The sequence below is a fragment of the Homo sapiens genome, chromosome X (assembly GCF_000001405.40).
Source record: "Homo sapiens chromosome X, GRCh38.p14 Primary Assembly".
Classification (NCBI taxonomy): Eukaryota; Metazoa; Chordata; class Mammalia; order Primates; family Hominidae; genus Homo; species Homo sapiens.
Window position 1 is genome coordinate 6,761,461 of NC_000023.11, and position 20,541 is coordinate 6,782,001.

A 20,541-nucleotide genomic window follows, 5' to 3' on the forward strand; every position below is an offset into this window, starting at 1 on the left:
GCTTAATGCTGACAGTACTATTGCCTCTCTGGCTTGAAGCCCTATCTTCCTTCATTAATTATAGCTCATTTGCTCACATAGTGCTGCCACCTTGTCATTTCTAGTCTTTAAAACAGTGCCCTTTGCAAAATACACACTCAGTGAAGAGCAGCCATGCAAATTAATAGATACAGAATGTTGAAAAAAAGAATCCTAATAGGATTTTTCTTAAAGAACAGGATTGAGATGCTGATGGGTTTGAAATAAAAGCAAGCCACCCAGCACAGCAGCCGCATTGCCTTCTCTTCATGGCTGTGGTGACGGTTGGGCATCTGCAGCAGAAGAGGAACGATTACATTAATGAGAATACCTGGGATATAAGGGGAGTCCTTGTACACTCTTTATGAGTCAAATGAGAATATCGTCAAGAAAAGGCAAGCCACTTAAAGCATTCTTCCTGCACCTGGCCAGGCGCAGTGGCTCATGCCTGTAATCCCAGCACAGGTGTGGGAGGCTGAGAAGGGTGGATGGCTTTGAGGCCAGGAGTTTGAAATCAGCCTGGGCAACATGGCAAAACCACATCGCTCCAAAAAAATACAAAAATCAGCTGGGTGACGTGGCATACGCCTGTAGTCCCAGTTGCTCCAGGGGCTGAGGCGGGAGGATGGATTGAGTCAGGGAGGTCGAAGCTGCAGTAAGCCGAGATCATACCACTGCACTCCAGCCTGGGCCACAGAGCAGATCTTGTCTCAAAATAAAATAAAATAAAGCCATACTTCCTGCGCCTCTGATGAGAGAATCTTGACCCAATGGTCTATATAGAATTCAGTGTACGTTAAAGATAAACCTATTTTTAATTGTCTTCAGTCTGGTTCAGTTTTCTGTTGAAAACATCACAGTTACAACATTGAGGGATTGCTCGATGCCCAAGATGTTAAAATTACTATCAGTGGCTTTGAAAGGAAAGCACACTTTTCTACCTTCATTTTCAGTATAATGAATATGTTTAATATTTTTTCTCCTGTTGGCTCAGAATAGAACTTTGAAAAATGTCATACGTGACAAAGATTGTTCCAGGGAGTGGAGAAAAGAGAAAGAATGAGTGAGGAAATGAGTGAAGGATTTCTGAAAATAAATGACAAATATCTCTGAAGGAAGGAAACAGATGACAGGCAGAAGAAATAAATTTCAAAATAAGGAAAATGAATACTTAAAATAGCAGGAGAATGAACCAGCTTGAGAATGATTTTTTAAAGAACAGTATGTTTTAAAGTAACGTTCCTTATTGTAAAAATAATACTCCTTGTAAAGCATTTAGCAAACACAGAAAAGCACACAGAGGGAGTAAAAATCATTCAGAGGCCACCCTGGAGAGAAAAACATTTTAATGCTTTTGGCTATTTCTTTCTAGTTCTTCTTATATTCCTTTCTTCTTTTAAAATAAGGGCATACTCTAAAAATAATTTCAGGTTCTACTTTTTTTCATTCAATATTATATTGTGAGCATATTACCAGGTGAAATAGCGTTTGAAAATATGATTTTAGTGGCTATGCCAGTATTAATAAACCACAGCCCATGGCCAAACAGTGTCCCCCTGCCCATGAGCTAAATATGGCTTTTACATGTTGAAATAGCTTTTAAAAATAAAAATACAAAATAATATTTCAGGGAGGCACGATGCCTCCTGCCTGTAATCCCAGCACTTTGGGAGGCCGAGGTGGGTGGATCAGTTGAGGCCAGTTGTTCGAGACCAGTCTGGCCAACATGGCGAAACTCCGTCTCCACTAAAATTACAAAAATTAGCCGGGTGTGGTGATGTGTGCCTGTGGTCCCAGCTACTTGGGAGGCTGAGGTAGGAGAATCACTTGAACCCGGGAGGCGGAGGTTGCAGTGAGCAAAGATTGCACCACTGCACTACAGCCTGGGTGATGGAGTGAGACTGTCAAAAAAAAATTCGTAACACCTTAAAATTATGAAATTCAAATTTAAAGGAAATTTTATTAGAACACAACCACACCTATTTCTTTACATATTATTGACTATTGCTGCTTTTGAGACACAAGGGCAGAACTGAGTAATTGTCAGAGAGAACGTCGGTCCCTCAAAGCCTAAAATATTCACTATTTGGCCTCTTAGAGAAAGTTTCCTGACCCCTAGACTATGTAACCACATGACCTCTGTTTATATCAAAACTTGGTTAAACGCTTCCCTATCATTGAGCACCATGGGGTTTTTGTTGTTTTTGCTGTTTTAAATAACATTGTTGTGAATGTTCTTGACCTAAATTGTGGTTGACATCTGTGAATATTTTTCTAAGTAATTAATTATGGATCAAAGGTCATGGACCTTTTTATACCTCTGGATATATTATCCTTTAGAAAAGCAGAAAAGGCATAGATACCTTGTTCAGCAGCAAGGGTGTTTATAAGAACCAGGGGTTCTGAACTGGCACCATAATGTTTTCCTACACAGAGATTTATGTTTTCAACCAAGAAACAACTAAAAATTATTGGCTGGTGTCTTTCTCTTTCTAGAATTGTTTCAACCCTTTATCATAGCATTGGGAGCTAGAAAATAATCCATATCTATTTTTCTCACTCATCTAGAGTGCAGCAAATTTTTCATCTTCATATCCAGTAGGGATTTTAACCAGGAAAATAACCCCTTGGTTTGCTTGACCTTCAGAAAGTAATCAAACCATGCTGGCATCACGAAATAGGATGGTAAAGGCAGAGAGATCCCTGCTAAGTCGACAGAGAATCAGATTGATGGGACTAACTGCTTTGCAAAGCAGGAGGCAAAGCAGAAGACACCCCATCGTGGTCTTGGCAGCCCGGGTTATAAAGAATTCAAATTTCAGTGCAAGGCAGCTGTTGAAATGGAATATCAGAAACAAAGGCCACCCTGGACATAACTGTGGCCTGGTGAATTTGCTGAGTGAAAATGGCTTATTGGCCCTGTGGGTTTCTTCTGTCAGTTCCCCATCTTTCTATTGTGGGAATTTATCATGTTGGTCCTGCTTTGTAAGATTTCTTTACATTTTAAGACTATAAACACTTGTCTACAAGTGCAGTGTATGTAGGGTTTCTATGTATTTTCCATGGGTTTTTGATATGTATGGCTTGCATGTCAGAAACAGTGGGTTAAACAAGGCTAGTTGGACCCTTAAATGCAGGACTTCTCAAAGCCTTTAGTACGATACGATGAATGTGAATCAGCACATGATGAATTTAAATGTAACATTCATCAAAATTATTGACTATGGGCAAGTTTATTTATTAGGCATATTTCAGAATATGCCTGAATCTGTTTTGTGGCTAAAATTTGGGCATCTGTGGTAGGAGGTAAGAAATCCACAAGGAACATACTGAAAAAATACTGACTACTACTGATAAACAACTAGCAATTAATTACAAATTTTAATAAATGGCTAAATGTAAAATAAATATAAGAAAGCAACAGGATTTCCATATACACAATAAAACTAGTTTTAAAATATTATCTGAAAAGGACCTATCCCAATATCAATTAAAGCTGAAAATATGGGTAGGTGTGGTGGCTTACGTCTGTAATCCCAGCAATTTGGGAGGCCGAGGCACGAGGATCGCTTGAGCCCAGGAGTTTGACACCAGCCTGGGCAACGTGGTGAAACTGCACCTCTACCAAAAAAAAAAAAAAAATTTACAAAAATTATCTGGGTGTGGTAGTGTGCACCTGTAGTCCCAGCTACTTGGGAGGCTGAGGCGAGAGGATGGCTTGAGCCCAGGAGGCAAAGGTTGCAGTGAGCCAACATCACGCCACTACCCTCCAGCCTAGACAACAGAGCCAGACCCTGTCTCAAAAAACAAACAAACAAACAAACAAACCAACAACAACAACAAAAAGAAAGCCCTGAAAATACCTAGAACTAACCTTAACAAGAAATATGTAAAACCTGTCTAGAAAATCGTAAAGCCTTAAGTTAAACTGCTTGAAACTGAGCAATATAAAATTAGACTTGCATAAACAGGATAAACAAATCACGTCACAGGATTCAAATTACAAATATTTTAATTATGTCCATTTTTCATACTATCATGTCGATTTCTACAATGACAATTAGAAACTTTAGTAAATATTTTCAGGAACTTGTCAGATTTTCTTTCTAAAATTCATCTGAAATCACTAATAAGCAATGTTATCAATAAACCTTAAAAACATTAGTGAGAAATGACTGAGATGTGATAGCAAAATATTTTATACAGAAAGATCATAGAAAGTCCACCCAGCCCTAGCCTCCCTCTTTGGGCATGCAATGTGAGCTGTAATTAACAATTAGGGATAAAACAACTAGCTAAATGCCTGAAAAAGAAGAGAAAGAGGTTGGGGCTGAGAAAGTACTCAAGGAAAAGGTAGCCAAAAAATTCCCAAGTTTGCCAAGAGACATAAACAAACAGATTCAAAAAACTGAGTGAAGGCCAAACGGGGTAAATCTCAAGAAATCCATGCCAAGACACTTCTTAATGAAACTCCTGGAAACCAAACACACACAAAAAATTTGAAAGCAGCCACAGAAAGCAACACCTTACCTCTAGGGAAAAATATTATTCAAGTAATAGCAAATTCATTACCAGAATTGATGGAGGACAGATGGAAGTGGCACAATATTTTTCAGATGCTTAAAAAAAAAACTGTCAACCCAGAACTTTATATCCAGTAAAAATATCCCTTAGGAATGAAAGGGAAATCAGGACGTTCTCCAATGAAGAAAATCTAAGAGAATTTGTCAACAGCAGACCTATCCTAGAACAAATGGTTTAAAGAAGTTCTTTATATAGAGGAAAATGATAACAGAATAAATCTTGGAGTGCCAGGAAGGAAAATCAATATGCAAAACTATGGGTAAATAAATATGCTCTCCTTCTTATCTGGGATACTCTAAACCATATTTGAGGGTTGAACCAAAAATTAGAACATTTGTTTGATGTGGTTCTATGCATCTGCTGGAAAAATACTTAAGATAATTATAAATGGGGGAAGGTAAAGGGAAGTGATGTTTTTACATTCACTAGAAGTGGTAAAATGGTGACATCAGTAGACTGTGATAGTTATGAATATATTATATAGCATCTAGAGAAATTACTAAGGAAGGTTACGCAAAGACATAAACTAAAACACTATAGATATCCAAAATAGGAATAGTACCATTTTATAAAATTTTAGTACAACATGACAACCAAGATACTGTAATTGATGTAATCATGATATAGGATATTTCTATCCACACAAAGATCTCTCATGTTGTCCTTTTAAAGCCATACTCACTTTTCTCCTGCCCTCCCCTCCTTAATTTTCAGCATGCACTAATTTGTTCTGCAATTCTATAGTATTGCCATTTCAAGAACATCATGTAAATGTGTACTAAAATACACAGGATCCCTCTGTATTCTTTCTTACAACTACATGACTTTAATTATCTCAAAATAAAATGTTTAATTAAAATAAAAGAATAAAGCTACCAGCAACAATAGCAACCCAAAAAGGACCTTTAATGAGATGGACAAACACACATGTCACATTAATTAAAATGGTCCATACCAATTTTTTAAACTGTAAGAAGTGATGGCAAGTTGATAAGAATTTACAAGGTTTTTCTTAACTTTGTATTTTCCATATTTTAAAAGGTGACATTCGTAACTAGAAAAATTGTACCCTAATGCATTGAATAGGCCCAGCCTTGTAAGGCAGTGGAATTATTTAGTGGAATTATTTAGCGTAGCTAAGCTAATGATACACAAAGAATCTGGTCAACCATGGCATGCGTTTGGGTCCATTGCTAACAAAAGGAGAGTCAGTTCCCTTACTGTTTGTAAAGCACCTGCCAGAGGAAGGGCTTATGGGTGTCAGTGCTGCCATTTGTATATTTCTGCTTTATTACAGCACTAGTTCATTAATGAGGCCCTGCAATGTCCTGAATGGACACCTCACAGAAGGGGAGCTGCTTTTTATTTTATCTTCCTCATTAGTCGCTGGCGAATGTGGAATACATGGCCATACAGAAATAAAAACACATTTTAATGGTCTTACCTTGCTCTTAATGAAGACTTAGGCTTGATGCCAGTTCGCCCTTCATAGCAGGTATCCTTTGCCCACGATGGGATATAGCAGCGCAGTCATTCCACACAAATGGACTTTAGGAAGAGCTTCCACAATACAGGTCTGGAGTATGTTAGAACTCAGTGAAGAAAGATTCAAATTTGCTTGAAGTTCTTTTTCATAATGGAGTGGGCTCCTTGGAGAATGAGGAATGGGATTCGAGTTTTATTGGTTTAAGCCTTTAAGAAACTTTGCATTGAACCCCTCTCCAGCTTTCCATGCCCACCTGCAACTTTCTTTGTCAGCAATTAACCTGCACGTGTGCTTTAAAGTGAAGTAATTTCAAACTCCATCAGTTCCTTGGTTCTCATCTCAGTCTATTCCGAATCTGGGGTGTCTCTGTGACTGCTACACATACTGGAGTTTTGGGGTTTGCAAAGCCCTTCCAGATCTCTCGTTTCCCATGTACTCAACACCCTTCTGAACCCATCTGAAAAACTAGTCTATCAGGGAAGCTTGACCAGGAACAGACTTCAATTGGACAAAGTTCAATTGAAATTGCCACTTTTGCAGGTTAAGAATAATCCAATGTTGGAATTTTAGGTAGCTCTACCCAGCGGTTCTCAACCAGGGGCGATTTTGTTCTCCCTGGGGACATCTGGCCATTCTAGAGCCATTTGGGGTTGTTACAGTGAGGGGTTGTGGGGATGGCACTGGCAGTTGATGGGTTGAGGCCAGGGATGCTGCTGAATATCCTACAGTGCACGAGACAGCCCTAGACAACAAGGATTCATCCATCCTCAAATGTCACTGGTGCCAAGGTGGACAAACCACAGTTCTGCCAAATGTAGCATAGGATTTAAGAACATGCAGTTGAAGTACAGTGCCTGAACTCAATGGTTTTACCACTTAATTTCTGTGTGTGCTTGGGTATGTTAGCTACAATGGTTATAATGATAATTTCGGACTCAGGATTGTAGGGAAAATTAAGTAAGTAAATACATATCATGCCCTTTGAATACTGTGGAGGCTATTGATGTTGGCTGTTATTATCTATAGAATTCTTTTAGATATTAAAAATTGCAAGATCCATTCTGTGAAGAGGGAGATTTGAAAAGAAAAAAAAATTAAAGTCTTTTAAAAATTGTAAGATCCAGAATTCACAGAAAACTTACAGGAAATATCTAGATTGCTGGAGTTATTTTAACATTCTGATTTCTGTCATTGTTTGGGGGCCCCAATAGATTTCATTCCCTTTTTATGAACATATATGCATATTCCAAAAGTAAACAGTTTTCAGCAAGAAGTTCACAACAGGTAGAACACACTTTTACGAGTTTTATAGAGAAAACACTAGCTCACACAGTAAAACAATAGCTTTCCGTGGTGGTGTTTACTCAAGCCCCAGAGAAAAGGCCGCCATACCATTGAAACTCACAAAGGCTGCACTCCACCAAAAGTGATACAGCCACAACGAAAGTAGCACATTTTGTACATAGAGAAGGCGCTCACTGGCACAGTGCTCGAAATGTCACATAAATTATGCTCACACTTCTAAGAATGGATCTTGAACACAGTGTGTAAATATTTGCTGGTCTCCCATTCCATGTGTCTCCCAGCGAGTCTGTGTGACTCCTCCAACCTGATTCCTTGTTGTCTGCCAAAGATAAGCCACTCGAGGGGCTTTCTGCTCAATTTCAACATGGAAGAAGTGAAAAAGATTTTGCAGCAATTGCTTGGATTAGAAACAAAGAAGACAGCTGGTGAATAAACAGGTCAATTTTTCTCATTAAGTTGTGGGGAAAACAGTCTCCTGCATCCTGAAAGCCCTCCTCACCTTTGGCGGGGAAGGCAGAACAATCTTATCAGGTAAGGTCATTCCAGATGGCAGGTCTGCCATTCCTGCCTTGCTCTTCATTAATCCACAGAGGCAGGTGGGAGGAAACCCATGACTGTTCATCACCCAGACATCAGCAGCATCAAGGCAGGCTGTCAGCAGCCACGGGAGCCTCCATTTCAAATCCACAATTCAGAACACAAAAACCAGGATTATGCTTTTTCTTTCTTGTTTCCTTCTTGTTTGTGTTGTCATGGTTCCTCCAGTCACTGGTGTTTCGAGTTCATCTTTTTCGTGCTTTAAAGCTTTGTTGTATCTGAGAAAATTGCAAAGGTACGTTATCATTGCTGCATCTTCCTATTGCTTAGAGAGCTGCTTTATAGCACAATCACAAGCTCATCAAGTCTGTTGGACTGGATTCTGGGTGAGCCTAGCGCCTGGGCTCTCAATCGTACTTAAATAAATAGCAATTTTGATGGCGAGAAAATATTAATATAAAGAAACTGTTTACAGTCATGTGCTGGGGTCTGTTTGCACTGTGGGGTCTGAACAACCTAAACGGGGGATAAATTGCAAGCAGTCTGTTCTGCAGATGGTCTGCAAAGCCCTACAGTCTGTTTCAGTCATGACAAGCTTCAAGGACAGGTGACTAGGGTGACTTAAATGAACCCCTTCCCACAATGGAGTTCCATTTTCATTTTGTTTCTGGCCCCATTCAGAGCCTTTCCCTCTACAAAAAGGAGCTCTCTCCCATTACAGAAAATGAAAAGCTCAAGCACATTCTGTGTTTCTTTCTACTCTTGACTTCCCATCATACAATCTTCTTGGAGCCGGAGGAGTTATTTAGTCCAGGGGTGGATGCACTGCATTGTGCTGGCCAAATCTGGCCACACACATTCATTTGCATGCCTGTCTGTGGCTGCTTTTCTTCTACAATGGCAGAGTTGAGTAGATGCAACAGAGATGCTGTGGCCTAAAAAGCTGAACCCATTTATTATCTGGCCCTTTGCAGAAAATATTTTGCTGACCCCTTGTTTCAGAGTTAAGAAACCACAGACCCAATGGGGTAAGATAATTTGTCAAAACCATGCAGGCAGATAGGGATGGAGCCAGAAGCCTTGGTTTTTTTGTTTGTTTTTTGTTTTTGTTTTTTGTTTTTTTATGGCTTTGTGATGGATCCATGACCTGCTGCCTGGGTATCTACAGAAAGTCAGCACACATCACACAGCTGCACATTCTCTAATGCAAACTAACCTGTAAGAAACACACCTGTCCTATGATAGGCCAGCAAGAAAGGAGATACATAGGATTGCCGGCTTTGGGCTGGGGCTGTTTCCTCCCAAACAGCGTTTCACACCACCAATTCATCCACATGGTGCCCATCTGCATTAAGAATAGAAAGCCAACAAATTATTCAGAACCTGACCGACAGATATGCAATGCTGGGCTGCCTGGTGAATTTGAAGAGAAGACCCATCTGAAAGCAAATATCTCTCATTACGTTTCAAATGATGAGGAAAAGATGATGACACCCTATCATCTCATGACAGAAGTCATCATGAGATGGAAAATTTCCCTGACAGAAGAAGAAGTCAACCTCTCCCCCTTCTAATCCAACTCAGTCATATAGAAAAGTTAAATCATTCCAAATAAGTTGTAGCTTCACTCTCTGAAACTCTTCCTCTGAGTTCTATGCAAACTCCTCAGTCAGGAATGTAAAATCTGCCCCCATTCAAGTTCATTCCTATCTGCCTTATTTCCCACTGCTCTCTGACACACATACCAGGCTCAGAGCCCTGGGGAATTGCACAGTCACAGGAAATGCACAGAGAGATGACCCCATGGAAAGAAACGTGCCACCTAGAAGTCTTGTTCTGCTCCAGAAACCCATTTAATAGATCTACTTCAACACCTGCACGTCCATGGCCTTCTGACAAGCTTCCTTTCTTTGCACGCTGGAATTATCTCCTTTTTATGCATTTCATTTTTGAAGACTACCCCAAACACCACTGCCCTTAGGAAGTCTTGTGCAACTACTGGACTGCTTTTGGTTATATTCCTCTTTAATCCATCACCCAATATAGAACTTTGTGAATATCTCTTTTGGAGCATGTCCGCAACTCAAATTAGTAGTCATTTGCCTCTCACCCATTAGACCATTTTAAAGGCAAGAACAGTTTTCCTCATCTTCCTAACCCTCACCTTGCCTTCCACATAATAGATTCTCAGAATTGGGTTGTAAGAGTTAAGAAAACTCAATAGTTACTTGTTGGCTTATGTTTATTGACATCACAGATGGATCTGATATTGTTCTTCTTTGGCATTAAACTCTCCGGATCATGAAATGTGTACATAAATGACTTAATACACAGAATTACTCAAGGCCAGGGATTGGCAGACTTTTCTGCAAAGACCCAGGTATTTTAGGCCTTTCTGGTCTCTGTTGCAAACGTTCAACTCTGCCGTTGTAGCATTAAGGGAGCCACAGACAATCTGTAAATGAATGGCTGTAGCTGTGTGTCAATAAAACTTTATTTATAAAACCAGGTGGTATAGGTTGGATTCAGCCCTCAGGCTGTAGTTTTCTAGTCCCTCCAAACCCTCAACAAAAAGATCCTGCACCATTCTGGTGATGCAGAACCAAGTGAAATGTGGATGGAAACTACCTTGACATTTGTTTTCTATTCAGGAATTAAAACCACAGATGTTATTTTTTTCCCTCAGTAAAATCTTTTTAAAAAACGTTTGGGGCAATGCCTTGTATCCTAATCACAGTGCACATCACTCCTCTTGCATTCATTTGCTTTTGTCTCCTCATTTATTAGCACAATTTGCTTGTGAATCACTTGTTTTATGTAGCAGTTAAATCTAGGGAAATTAACTGAATTCAGAAATGTGGGCTTGGGCTGGAAATTCTTTTTTTTCCTATATTACAATGAAATAAATTTTTCCTCAGTTTTCCAAAATAATTATGTTAATCAATTCCTGAGTCTTCAGCAGACGTGAAAGCTAAGGGCACCTTTGGTTTAAGGGGCTACAAGCAGAGTCAGCAGCTCATCTATAAACTCATATTAACAGATTGAGACACAGAACAGAGAAAATCATTCTCCATCACCTCAACACTATAACCATATTCATCTTTCAACTCTGAGGTCCCCATCTACCTAACTTTTTGAATAGATTGCACCAGTTTAAAAATTATGTTGATATTTCCAGCCATTCCCAGAAAAACAAATTTCAGTATGGATTATCTGACTTTCAGAGAAATACAGACAAGGAAAAAAAAAAAAAAAGAAGGTCAGGCACAGTGGCTCATGCCTGTATTCCCAGCGCTTTGGGAGGCCGAGGTGGGTAGATCACTTGAGCCAAGGAGTTCAAGACCAGCCTGAGCAATAAAGTGAGACCCCATCTCTACAGCAGAAAATTAAAACAAACAAACAAACAACAACAACAAAAAACCCAGGACATTAAGGTTGTAGTGAGCTAAGATCAAGCCACTGCACTCCAGCTGGGGTGACAGAGTGGGACTCTGTCTCAAAAAAAACAAAAAGACAAAAAAAGACAAGTCTGTTGATCTGATTAGAAGGGCAATAGTTGAAGCTTTTTCCACAAGTTCACAAGCTTTCTTTTTCATCTGGATAGCTTTATTTAGTACAGTAGTTAAGTCATCTCAGGATATATTTGAAAATCACATCTTAAAGTTTTTCTCAGACATTAGTTGAGACAAATGTAACCTGGAAAATTTAGATGGAAAAGTTCACGGTGTTTGGAGATGAGTGGAAAGTTGGGAATTTCTCAGGAACATGCTCCATGTTGGTTGTGCTGTCTTGGCTTTTCAAGTTACTCTAACTCTGAGGATGAAACTTCAAAATCTTTTTGGTCTACAATGAAAAAGAGCCATGCTATCAGGGGACTCTGCTTCTTTTCCACATTTTCTCTTGCTTTGTGATACAGGTTTCAGTGAAATCCACTGCTTCACACTCCATCTTTTTGGGTACTGAAATTTAGGGTTGCCCTTAAAGTTTCACCAAATTCAAGATAATTTCTAACATTTAGTTGAGGCTTGGTGGGCCCAGAAGATCCTGGAGCTGCGTTTCCCACATTGTACTTTGCAGATCACTAGAGTCCGTCAGGGTCATGAGGTGGTCCTTTAAAAGGAGTTTCCTTTTTCAAATAGTTTGGGATGTGATTGCACAGCAAACCAGACAATACTCAGTGGAGAGTTGCTGGGTCCAGGTCGGGTATGAGACAGAACTCAACACCAGAGGCAAAGCTTGGTCATGGGACCAAGTTGAGGAGTAGCTAAAACAGGGCCAAGGCAGAAGCAGGTTTCCATCAGACATGCCCACCATTGTGCCATGTCAGTTACCATTGTCACGGCAACACCCAGGAGTTTCCACCCCTTTCCATGGCAATGACCCGATGACCCAAAAGTTACTACCCCTTCCCTAGAAATTTCTGCACAAACTGCCCCTTAATCTGCAGGAAATTAAAAGTGGGTATATGCCAGGCACTGTGGCTCACACGTGTAATCCCAGCACTTTGGGAGGCTGAGGTGGGCAGATCACCTGAGGTCAGGAATTTGAGACCAGCCTGGCCAACATGGTGAAACCCTGTCTCTACTAAAAATACAAAAATTAGCCGGATGTGGTGGTGGGCACCTGTAATCCCATCTACTCAGCAGGCTGAGGCAGGAGAATCACTTGAACCCAGGAGGAAGAGTTGGCAGTGAGCTGAGACTGCCGCTGCACTCCAACCTAGGCCACAGTGGGAGACTCCATCTCAGAAACAACAGCAAAAAAAGTGGGCATAAATGTGACACTCTCTGCCTACAGTGTTATCCCGTTCTGCAGGAAAAGTCACAGAGCTGTAACACAGCTGGAGCTGTAACATTGCTTCTTCAATAAAGCTGTTTTCTTCTACCTCCAGCTTGCCCTTCAATTATTTCCTAGACACAGCCAAGAACCCTCAGGGATTAAACCCCACTTTGTGGCTTGCCTGACCTGCATCATGGGAACTTCTCAAAGATGCAGAGAGATCCTGAAATATATGACTATGTTTTAACTTTCTTCCAACCAACATTTTCTAAACCACTTGGACAATACAAGCCATTTGTCTCAGGGTGGGCAATAGTACCTCAGCAACATAACGTTTCCTAAAACACAATGATGGAAAGGCTACACAACCTCTCCAGTGCTCCTGAAGCTTTGTTGCCTATGTCAACCTCAGGGATCTTATGAAAAGGTAGGTCTCAGTTACGAGGTCAAGGGTGGGGTTGGAGAGTCTCTGTTTCTGACAAGCTCCCAGGTAGGGTTGCTGTGGCTGGTTCATGGACACACAGTTAGCAAAGTGCTAAGAATCCAGCCATTGCAATTGATCTTTCCATCTTTCCAAGCTCCCTTGTGCTTCACTGAACCACACCAAATAAACACTCAGTGTTATTCAGCCTTTGCGACTATTGTTTGAAATCCTACCAGATCTGGGGTTTTAAGTCAAGCCCAGCTGCACATTAGCATCATTTGGGAGGCTTTTTAAAAAGATGAATGCCTGTTCTCCAAACTATGATATCAGAATCTCTTGAGGGTGCTGTCTGGACATTTTAAAATATTGAGACAAAATGTACATAACATTCAATTAACTGTTTTAGAGTGTACAATTCAATGGCTTCTAGTACTTTCACAGTGTTGTGCAACTATCACTTTTTTCTTTACCCCAAAAGGAAACCCAGTGCCTGTTAGCAGTCATTCCTCATTCCCTGCTCCCATCCTCAGACCCCAGCAATCACTAATTTACTTTCCGTGTCTATGGCTTTTCTTATTCTGAATATTTCATATAAATAGAGTGATACAATATGTGGTCTTTTGTGTCTAGCTTATTTCACTTAGTCTAATTTTTTAATCTATATTGTAGTATACACTAGTAGTTTATTTCTCTTTATGGCTGAATACTATTCAACTGTATAGATATACCACATTTGTTTATCCATTAATCTGTTGATATACATTTTGTTTGTTTCCAAGTGTGATTATTGTTAAGAGCCCTGCTATTAACATTCATTTACATGTCTTTGGATACCTGTTTTTAATCTTTTGGGGCATGGATGGATAGATAGATATAGATAGATAGATAGATACACACATATACACACACATACACACACACACACACACACACATATATGTATATAAAATATGCCTAGGAGTGTAATTGCTGGTTCATATGGTACCATAGACTGAATGTCTCTGTCCTCCCAAAAGTCATACATACGTTGAGATCTCAACCCCCAAGATGGAGCTATAAGAGGTGACTTAGATCTTTGGGACATGATCTAGGTGATGAGGGTGGAGGTGATGAGCGGTGATGAGGGTGGAGCCCTTATGAATGGAATTAGTGTCCTTATGAAAAAGGCCCCAGAGAGCTCCCTCACCTCTTCCACCATGTGCCTTCTCCACCACACAGCGAGAAGGCCCCGTCTATGAACCAGGAAGCGGGTTCTCACCAGGCACTGGATCTGCTGGTGCCTTGATCTTTGAGCCTCCAGAACTGTGAGATGGAAATGTCTACTGTTTATAAGCCACCCAGCCTATGGCATTTTGTTATGGCAGCCAGAAAGGACTAAGACATATGGTAACTCCGTTTTCACCTTACTGAGGAAATGACAAACCCTTTCTCACGGTGGCTGTGCCACTTTACATTCTCACTGGAGAACGTCACTGGACATTTATACCTTTTTAAAGGTTCCCCATTGAGTGCGATCACCAGCAAGTGTGGACAGCACTATCCTGCAACCAAGGACGGCCTTATTCACACACTTAATACACATGTATTTAATTCAATGGGGTGCCTGAACCCATAGCATCAACATTACCTAGGAACTTATTAGAAACACAGTTTCTAGGTCCAGCATGGTGGCTCATGCCTGTAAACCAAGCACCTTGGGAGGCCAAGGTGAGCAAATCACTTGAGGGCAGGAGTTTGAGACCAGTCTTGTCAACATGGCAAAACCCGATCTCCACTAAAAATACAAAAATTAGCCAGGCATGCAGTGGGAGCCTGTAGTCCCAGCTACTTGGGAGGCTGAGACAGGAGAATTGCTTGAACCCGGGATGCAGAGTTTGCAGTGAGCCAAGATTGCGCCACTACACTCCGGCCTGGGTGACAGAGCAAGAGTCCATCACAAAAAACAAACAAACAAACAAAGCCACAGTTTCTTGGTCCCCACACTGGACTGACTGAATCAGAAACTCTGGAGGCAGATGGTGGTCACTACCTATTTTATCAAGCCCTCCAGGGGATTCTAAAGTTTGAGAACTGATGCTCCACATATAATTTTATAATTTGCAATAGTTTCACTTCACCCTATATCATACGCACTTTCCCACATCCTGTACTATTATTTGAAAACACAGTTTAACATCTACTTGTAATCTTTTAATATAAAACAAGCCCACTATGCACTTAATCATTATATCTGGGGCCATTTGATTTTTCCCATTTTTTATGAAATACAAATAATACTCCATGAATACTCTTGACAATAAATATTTCCACACATCTCGGAATATTTCCTTGAGTTAAATTCAGAATCATAATTACCAAATTACAGCGTTTAGACATTTTTATCTTTATGCTGTGTTGGCCACTTCATTGGATCTGAGCTCTTTCTGTGGAGGGAAAACCAATACTTTCATTCATCACAAACAAGGAAGACAATATGGGTTATTGGCTATTTTTATTCTATTGCAAATATTGCTGGATCACCAATTCTGGGTTAATTTTTCTCTCAATCCAGGAGAAATAGATGCTATATATTTCCAGTCTCACTGCTTCCTTGCTATTTATGATGCTTTGCCCAGCTTTTTAATTTATCAGTCCTCAGTTTCTGTACCTACACCTTAAGGGTAAAAATACCCTACCTACTTAGTGGTATAGATAATAATGATAGAACTTGTGCAGAAAGCCCTTTGTAACTGCCGAGCACAATACAACATGTGAGATATTTTTATAACTAGGCTCAGTGCTTTGAAAAGTTCACTCCCAGAGGACTCCCCCAATAGAAATATCCTCATTTGCTTTGAGCCGTGGCTTTCATCAGCCTGACCTAAGCTGTATTATTTGCTCTGAATTCTTTAGGGATCTGCAGAAGCTTTACTATTCACATATGCATATTTTGCAACTGTATGAATGCACTCCTTAAATTTCTGGGAGTTGGTTCACCTTAGGCAGAATTTGTAAATAGTATATTTCTGGCTTATTTTCTATTTCCTTTTTATTTTAAGCCATGTGCCGATTCCATTGCATCCATCTTTACAGAGCTTGCCTCAAATCCTTTTTGGGGAAGAGGCAATAGAGAAACAGAAAAACAAGTCAACAAGCAAGCAGATAGATACAGTAGCACACTGTAGGATCTATTTGATACTTCCTCTTCCTTTCTGAACCTTTATAGCAAGGTCTATACTTACATGGAAACTTTAAATAGAAACTATGACACCTACCCGGAAACAGGTAAGGCTATCCATTTTCACCAGTTGACTGTAAAAAGCCTCGGTTTTCTGTCTGAATTAGGAAAATTTGTAGACTTTGAGAGGTGCAAATGAGCAATAGTCTACTATAGTGCTGCTTTAATAGCTTCGAAAGATACCTGTCCCCCCGCCACGAACCCAGGCTACAAGTACTCTTTTTTCCAGTAAAGATGCATTTTGAAAAGACTATTCCGAGGCAGATAAGAGAAGCTGTTGGCATGTTTTAATGAGGGAAAATGAGAAGGGGGCTGTGGAAACAGCTCGACAGACTGCTCATCAGAGCAGAAGGAAGCTTCTATGCCTTTTTATAGACACGCTGGCCCCCTTACGTCCCTGAAATATTCTCTCTCCAAAGTTTCAAAGGTAGGACTTGCTAAGCGGGCAGTCCCGAAAGGGAAGTCTTGGAAACACCCTCTATCTGGAACAGGACCTACCCACACTCTGGTAAAGAATAGGGTATCTATACATCCCCAACGAAGAAACTGAGCTGAAAAACCAGGATGACGAGGCATGCAAATCTATTTGCAACCTTGGGCCAAGCTCCCAAGGCCAGCCACCCTGAGCATTGCTGCTTTGCCCTCTTTGATTTCCAGGGAATTAACACTCCTCAAGTTCCCCTGCATGTCACCTGCAGCCTGGGAGAAACATGGTGACTTGGGGCTCCCTGCAAGACACGGGATGTGTGATTCAGCCCCTTTTGATGCAGTACTTGAGGAAATGTCAGGGAGCAGAGAGTGAATAATCATTTGCATCCAGAGTGCCGCAGGCAGCTCTCCAAGAGGGAGCCCGCAGAAGTTGAGGCTTCCGAGGAGGCCGGGGACCCCTGTTTAGTTTTGAACTCAGCATGGGGGGAGAAAGAGAGATAGAGAGAGAAAGACCATTTCCCACAGAGCCGACAAATGCAGGGTTAAATAAAAACAGTGGTACCCGTGGAAGAACGGGGAGAGCGTGCCAGCTGGAGCCTTTATTTCATGTTAATCATTCTTGTAGTTGCTGTAGCCTGAGAAAGACACATTTGTTATGCAGACAGTGTTCGTTGTCAAAGACTGATCAAGAATGCAGGAGTGCGGCCACAAAATGAATTAGCTCTCTGGATACCAAATGGGAAAGCCAATTCGAACCAGAGCATGGCACAAGGGCTCCAGCAGGATTGAAATATACTAGGTGCGCATAAGAGCGAGCATTGTGACCACTGCTAATTATTTGCTATTTTTAGCACAGGCAATGAGAAAGCAAAGAGCAGGGGGAGGGGAATGCGGCAATCCAACAACAGGGTTCATTCAGAACGCCGCCGGGGGTTCACAGACCTCCGTCCATGTCCACTTCCCATGCTCCAGAATGGCCTTTATTTTTAAACTCAATAATTTTTCATTCATCCTCCTTGTGAATGTTAGGAATGTCTGCAGTTCTGAGCATGCCACAAAAGAAGACCTGTGCTGTGCCGAGGGTATGAAAGCAAAGCAGTGTGAAAGCAAAGCTTTGCTGTGCCCCAGAGAGAAACAGAACAGAAGGTCCCAATAAAGACAGAGGGTCTTTTCTAAGTGGGCACCCACTGAGCCTGTCGACCAGGAGAGATGGTCATTTTCTGTGCTTGCGTTGACTCACTTCTACATTCTTGGACTTCCAACCCTAATCTAAAGCTCAGATTCCAAGCGTTTCAACTGCCCTTGGACCAGGCTTACTGACAGGTAGATTACATTAGGTTTCCCCACTTGACATAACGGCATTGCAGCTTAAGGCATGACCATGGAGCTACTCTATTGTCAAGAAAAAGGTAGGGTGCAGTGGCTCATGCCTTTAATCCCAGCACTTTGGGAGGACCAAGCGGGTGGATCTCTTGAGCCCAGGAGTTCAAGACCAGCCTGTGCAACATAGTGAGATCCAGCCTTTACCAAAAAAAATAAAATTAGCTGGGTGTGGTGGCATGCATATAGTCCCAGCTTCTTGGGAGGCTGAGGCAGAAGTTCACTTGAGCCCAGGAGTCTGAGGCTGCAGTGAGCTATGTTCACGCCACTGCACTCTAGCCTGGGCAACACAGAGAGACCCTATCTCAAAAAATTCAAAAATGAAAATAAAGTCAAGGGAAAGAAAACTCTCCCTCTTGAAGTTCTATAGCATGTTCTTGTACTTGTATCAAAAATGCCATTAAAAAGAAACAAATATAGATAGACACATTCTTCTCTTTAAAACCTCAAAAATATTAGGCATATTCAGAAAAGCAAAGGAAAAAATCCTTTGTTTGTGTATATATGTATATATACATATTGTATATATACACACATATATACACATACACACACATATACACATACACACATTCTTGATCAGCGTCACATATGTATCTATGAATATGTGTGTGTGTATGTGTATATACATATATACACACACAAAAGACTGTATAATCTATATTATATATATAATTCTTCTGAATTATCCATTTGAACTTTTAAGATCCCATCAAACCACACCATGTCTACACTACTTAAGACATGATTTAGGCTCACAGACTTAAACTACAGAGTGTTTAAGTGTATACACATATATTTAGATATAGATATAAACATTTTAGTCAGTCAAGACACTGTATCACTGAAAATAGCTCCATGGATTCTCACCAAATAAAGAAGGCAGGGATAGGCTGGTCCAATACAGGCTTCATGGTTTGCATGGAAAAGACAAATGATCATCCCTCAGAACAGCCAAAAAGTTGATTTGCAATTGAGATGCTTTGCACCTGAGTGAGTCCTCATCCTAGGCTTTAAGGCGTGTAGCAGCAGGAACTCATTAGATGCATGATGGCGAATGAATTCCCCAATTATCTCATCTCAGGATGAGAGGCTGGCTGGATAAACATGTACACACACACACACACCCCACCACCGCCACCACCACCAAAAACAGGCCGGGTGCAGTGCCTCACGCCTACAATCCCAGCACTTTGGGAGGCTGAGGCAAGCAGATCACTTGAGGCCAGGAGTTCGAGACCAGCCTCGCCAACATGGTGAAACCTCGCCTCTACTAAAAATACAAAAATTAGCCAGGTGTGGTGGCACACACCTGTAATCCCAGCTACTCAGGAGGCTGAGGCAGGATAATCGCTTGAGCCTAGGAGGTGGCACCACTGCACTCCAGCCTGGGTGACAGAGCGAGACTCTGTCTCCAAAGAAAGAAAAACAAAAACAACAAAAATGCAAGTAAGAGGGAGGACAGCATTATAATATTACCTATTAGGATGAAATACTACTCATTGGCCAAGCTACACACACACACATGCACACACACACAACAACAATAACAACAGCAACAGCAATCACATATCACACCAGCAATCACATATCACACCATGGCATGACTTGGTGGTAAAAGATATTCATTCATCAAACTTTTATGGGTCTGATATTCTAATATGTCCAGGTAATACAAACTTGATTCATTCTCAAGGGATACGCATCTAAAAGGCCATGGGTCACCCATTACGGCACTCTTTTTTTATGATCATTCTGACATGATCAATCTGTGTCACATGATGACTTCTTGGGATAAAGTTACATGCAACTTCTCCAAAACACTTTTTCCCTCCCAATTTTGGACCCAGAGATGAAAGTAATTCATGGACAAACAAGGAACAGGTAGGTTCCTGCCTCTCAGAATCCTCTGAAGGATCAAAGGTATGTTTTTGAGCTGCCTACACCTGAAATCCTGATTTGGCTTTTGATTCTGTTTTCAGAACAGAAAGTGCATGTCATGGACTCCATAGAAGTCTCTTTCTGGGGAGTGCTTTAATGAGCCTAAGTAAATCCTTTGCCTCCTTTGTAAAGTTCCAGGAGAAATAATTCCACTAGGGAAGTAGTTCTCAGAGAGGGGATCCTTAGCAATGCCTGGCAATACTTTAGGACTTTCAGAGTTGTTAGATTATTGGAGGATGGATTCAGGGATGCTACTAAATATCTTACAATGCACACAACAGAGAATTATGCAGCCTAATGTATTACTAATGCCAAGGCTGAGAAACTCTGTTCTTTTGGTGGTTATGTACCTGAGCAGGTTGGGTCATACCTGACACAGTGTTGCCTGGATTTGGCAAACCTGGTGAAGAGAAACGCTTATCAGAGTCCTTTTCTCAAGAG

The 20,541-nt window shown here is 40.9% G+C and overlaps 1 protein-coding gene across 2 annotated transcripts in view; it reads right to left on the bottom strand.

Annotated features, from left to right (window-relative positions):
* PUDP (pseudouridine 5'-phosphatase) overlaps window positions 1-20,541 on the bottom strand; it is a 442,316-nt gene that overhangs the window by 55,623 nt on the left and 366,152 nt on the right. The window contains exon 6 of one of the 2 annotated variants that reach the window (XR_007068202.1): window positions 6,047-6,251. The gene's annotated coding sequence lies outside the window, so the exon portion shown is untranslated. Of the gene's footprint in view, window positions 1-6,046; window positions 6,252-7,373; window positions 8,209-20,541 lie in introns of those variants that run through there. The other variant, XR_001755734.2, reaches the window with a different exon arrangement.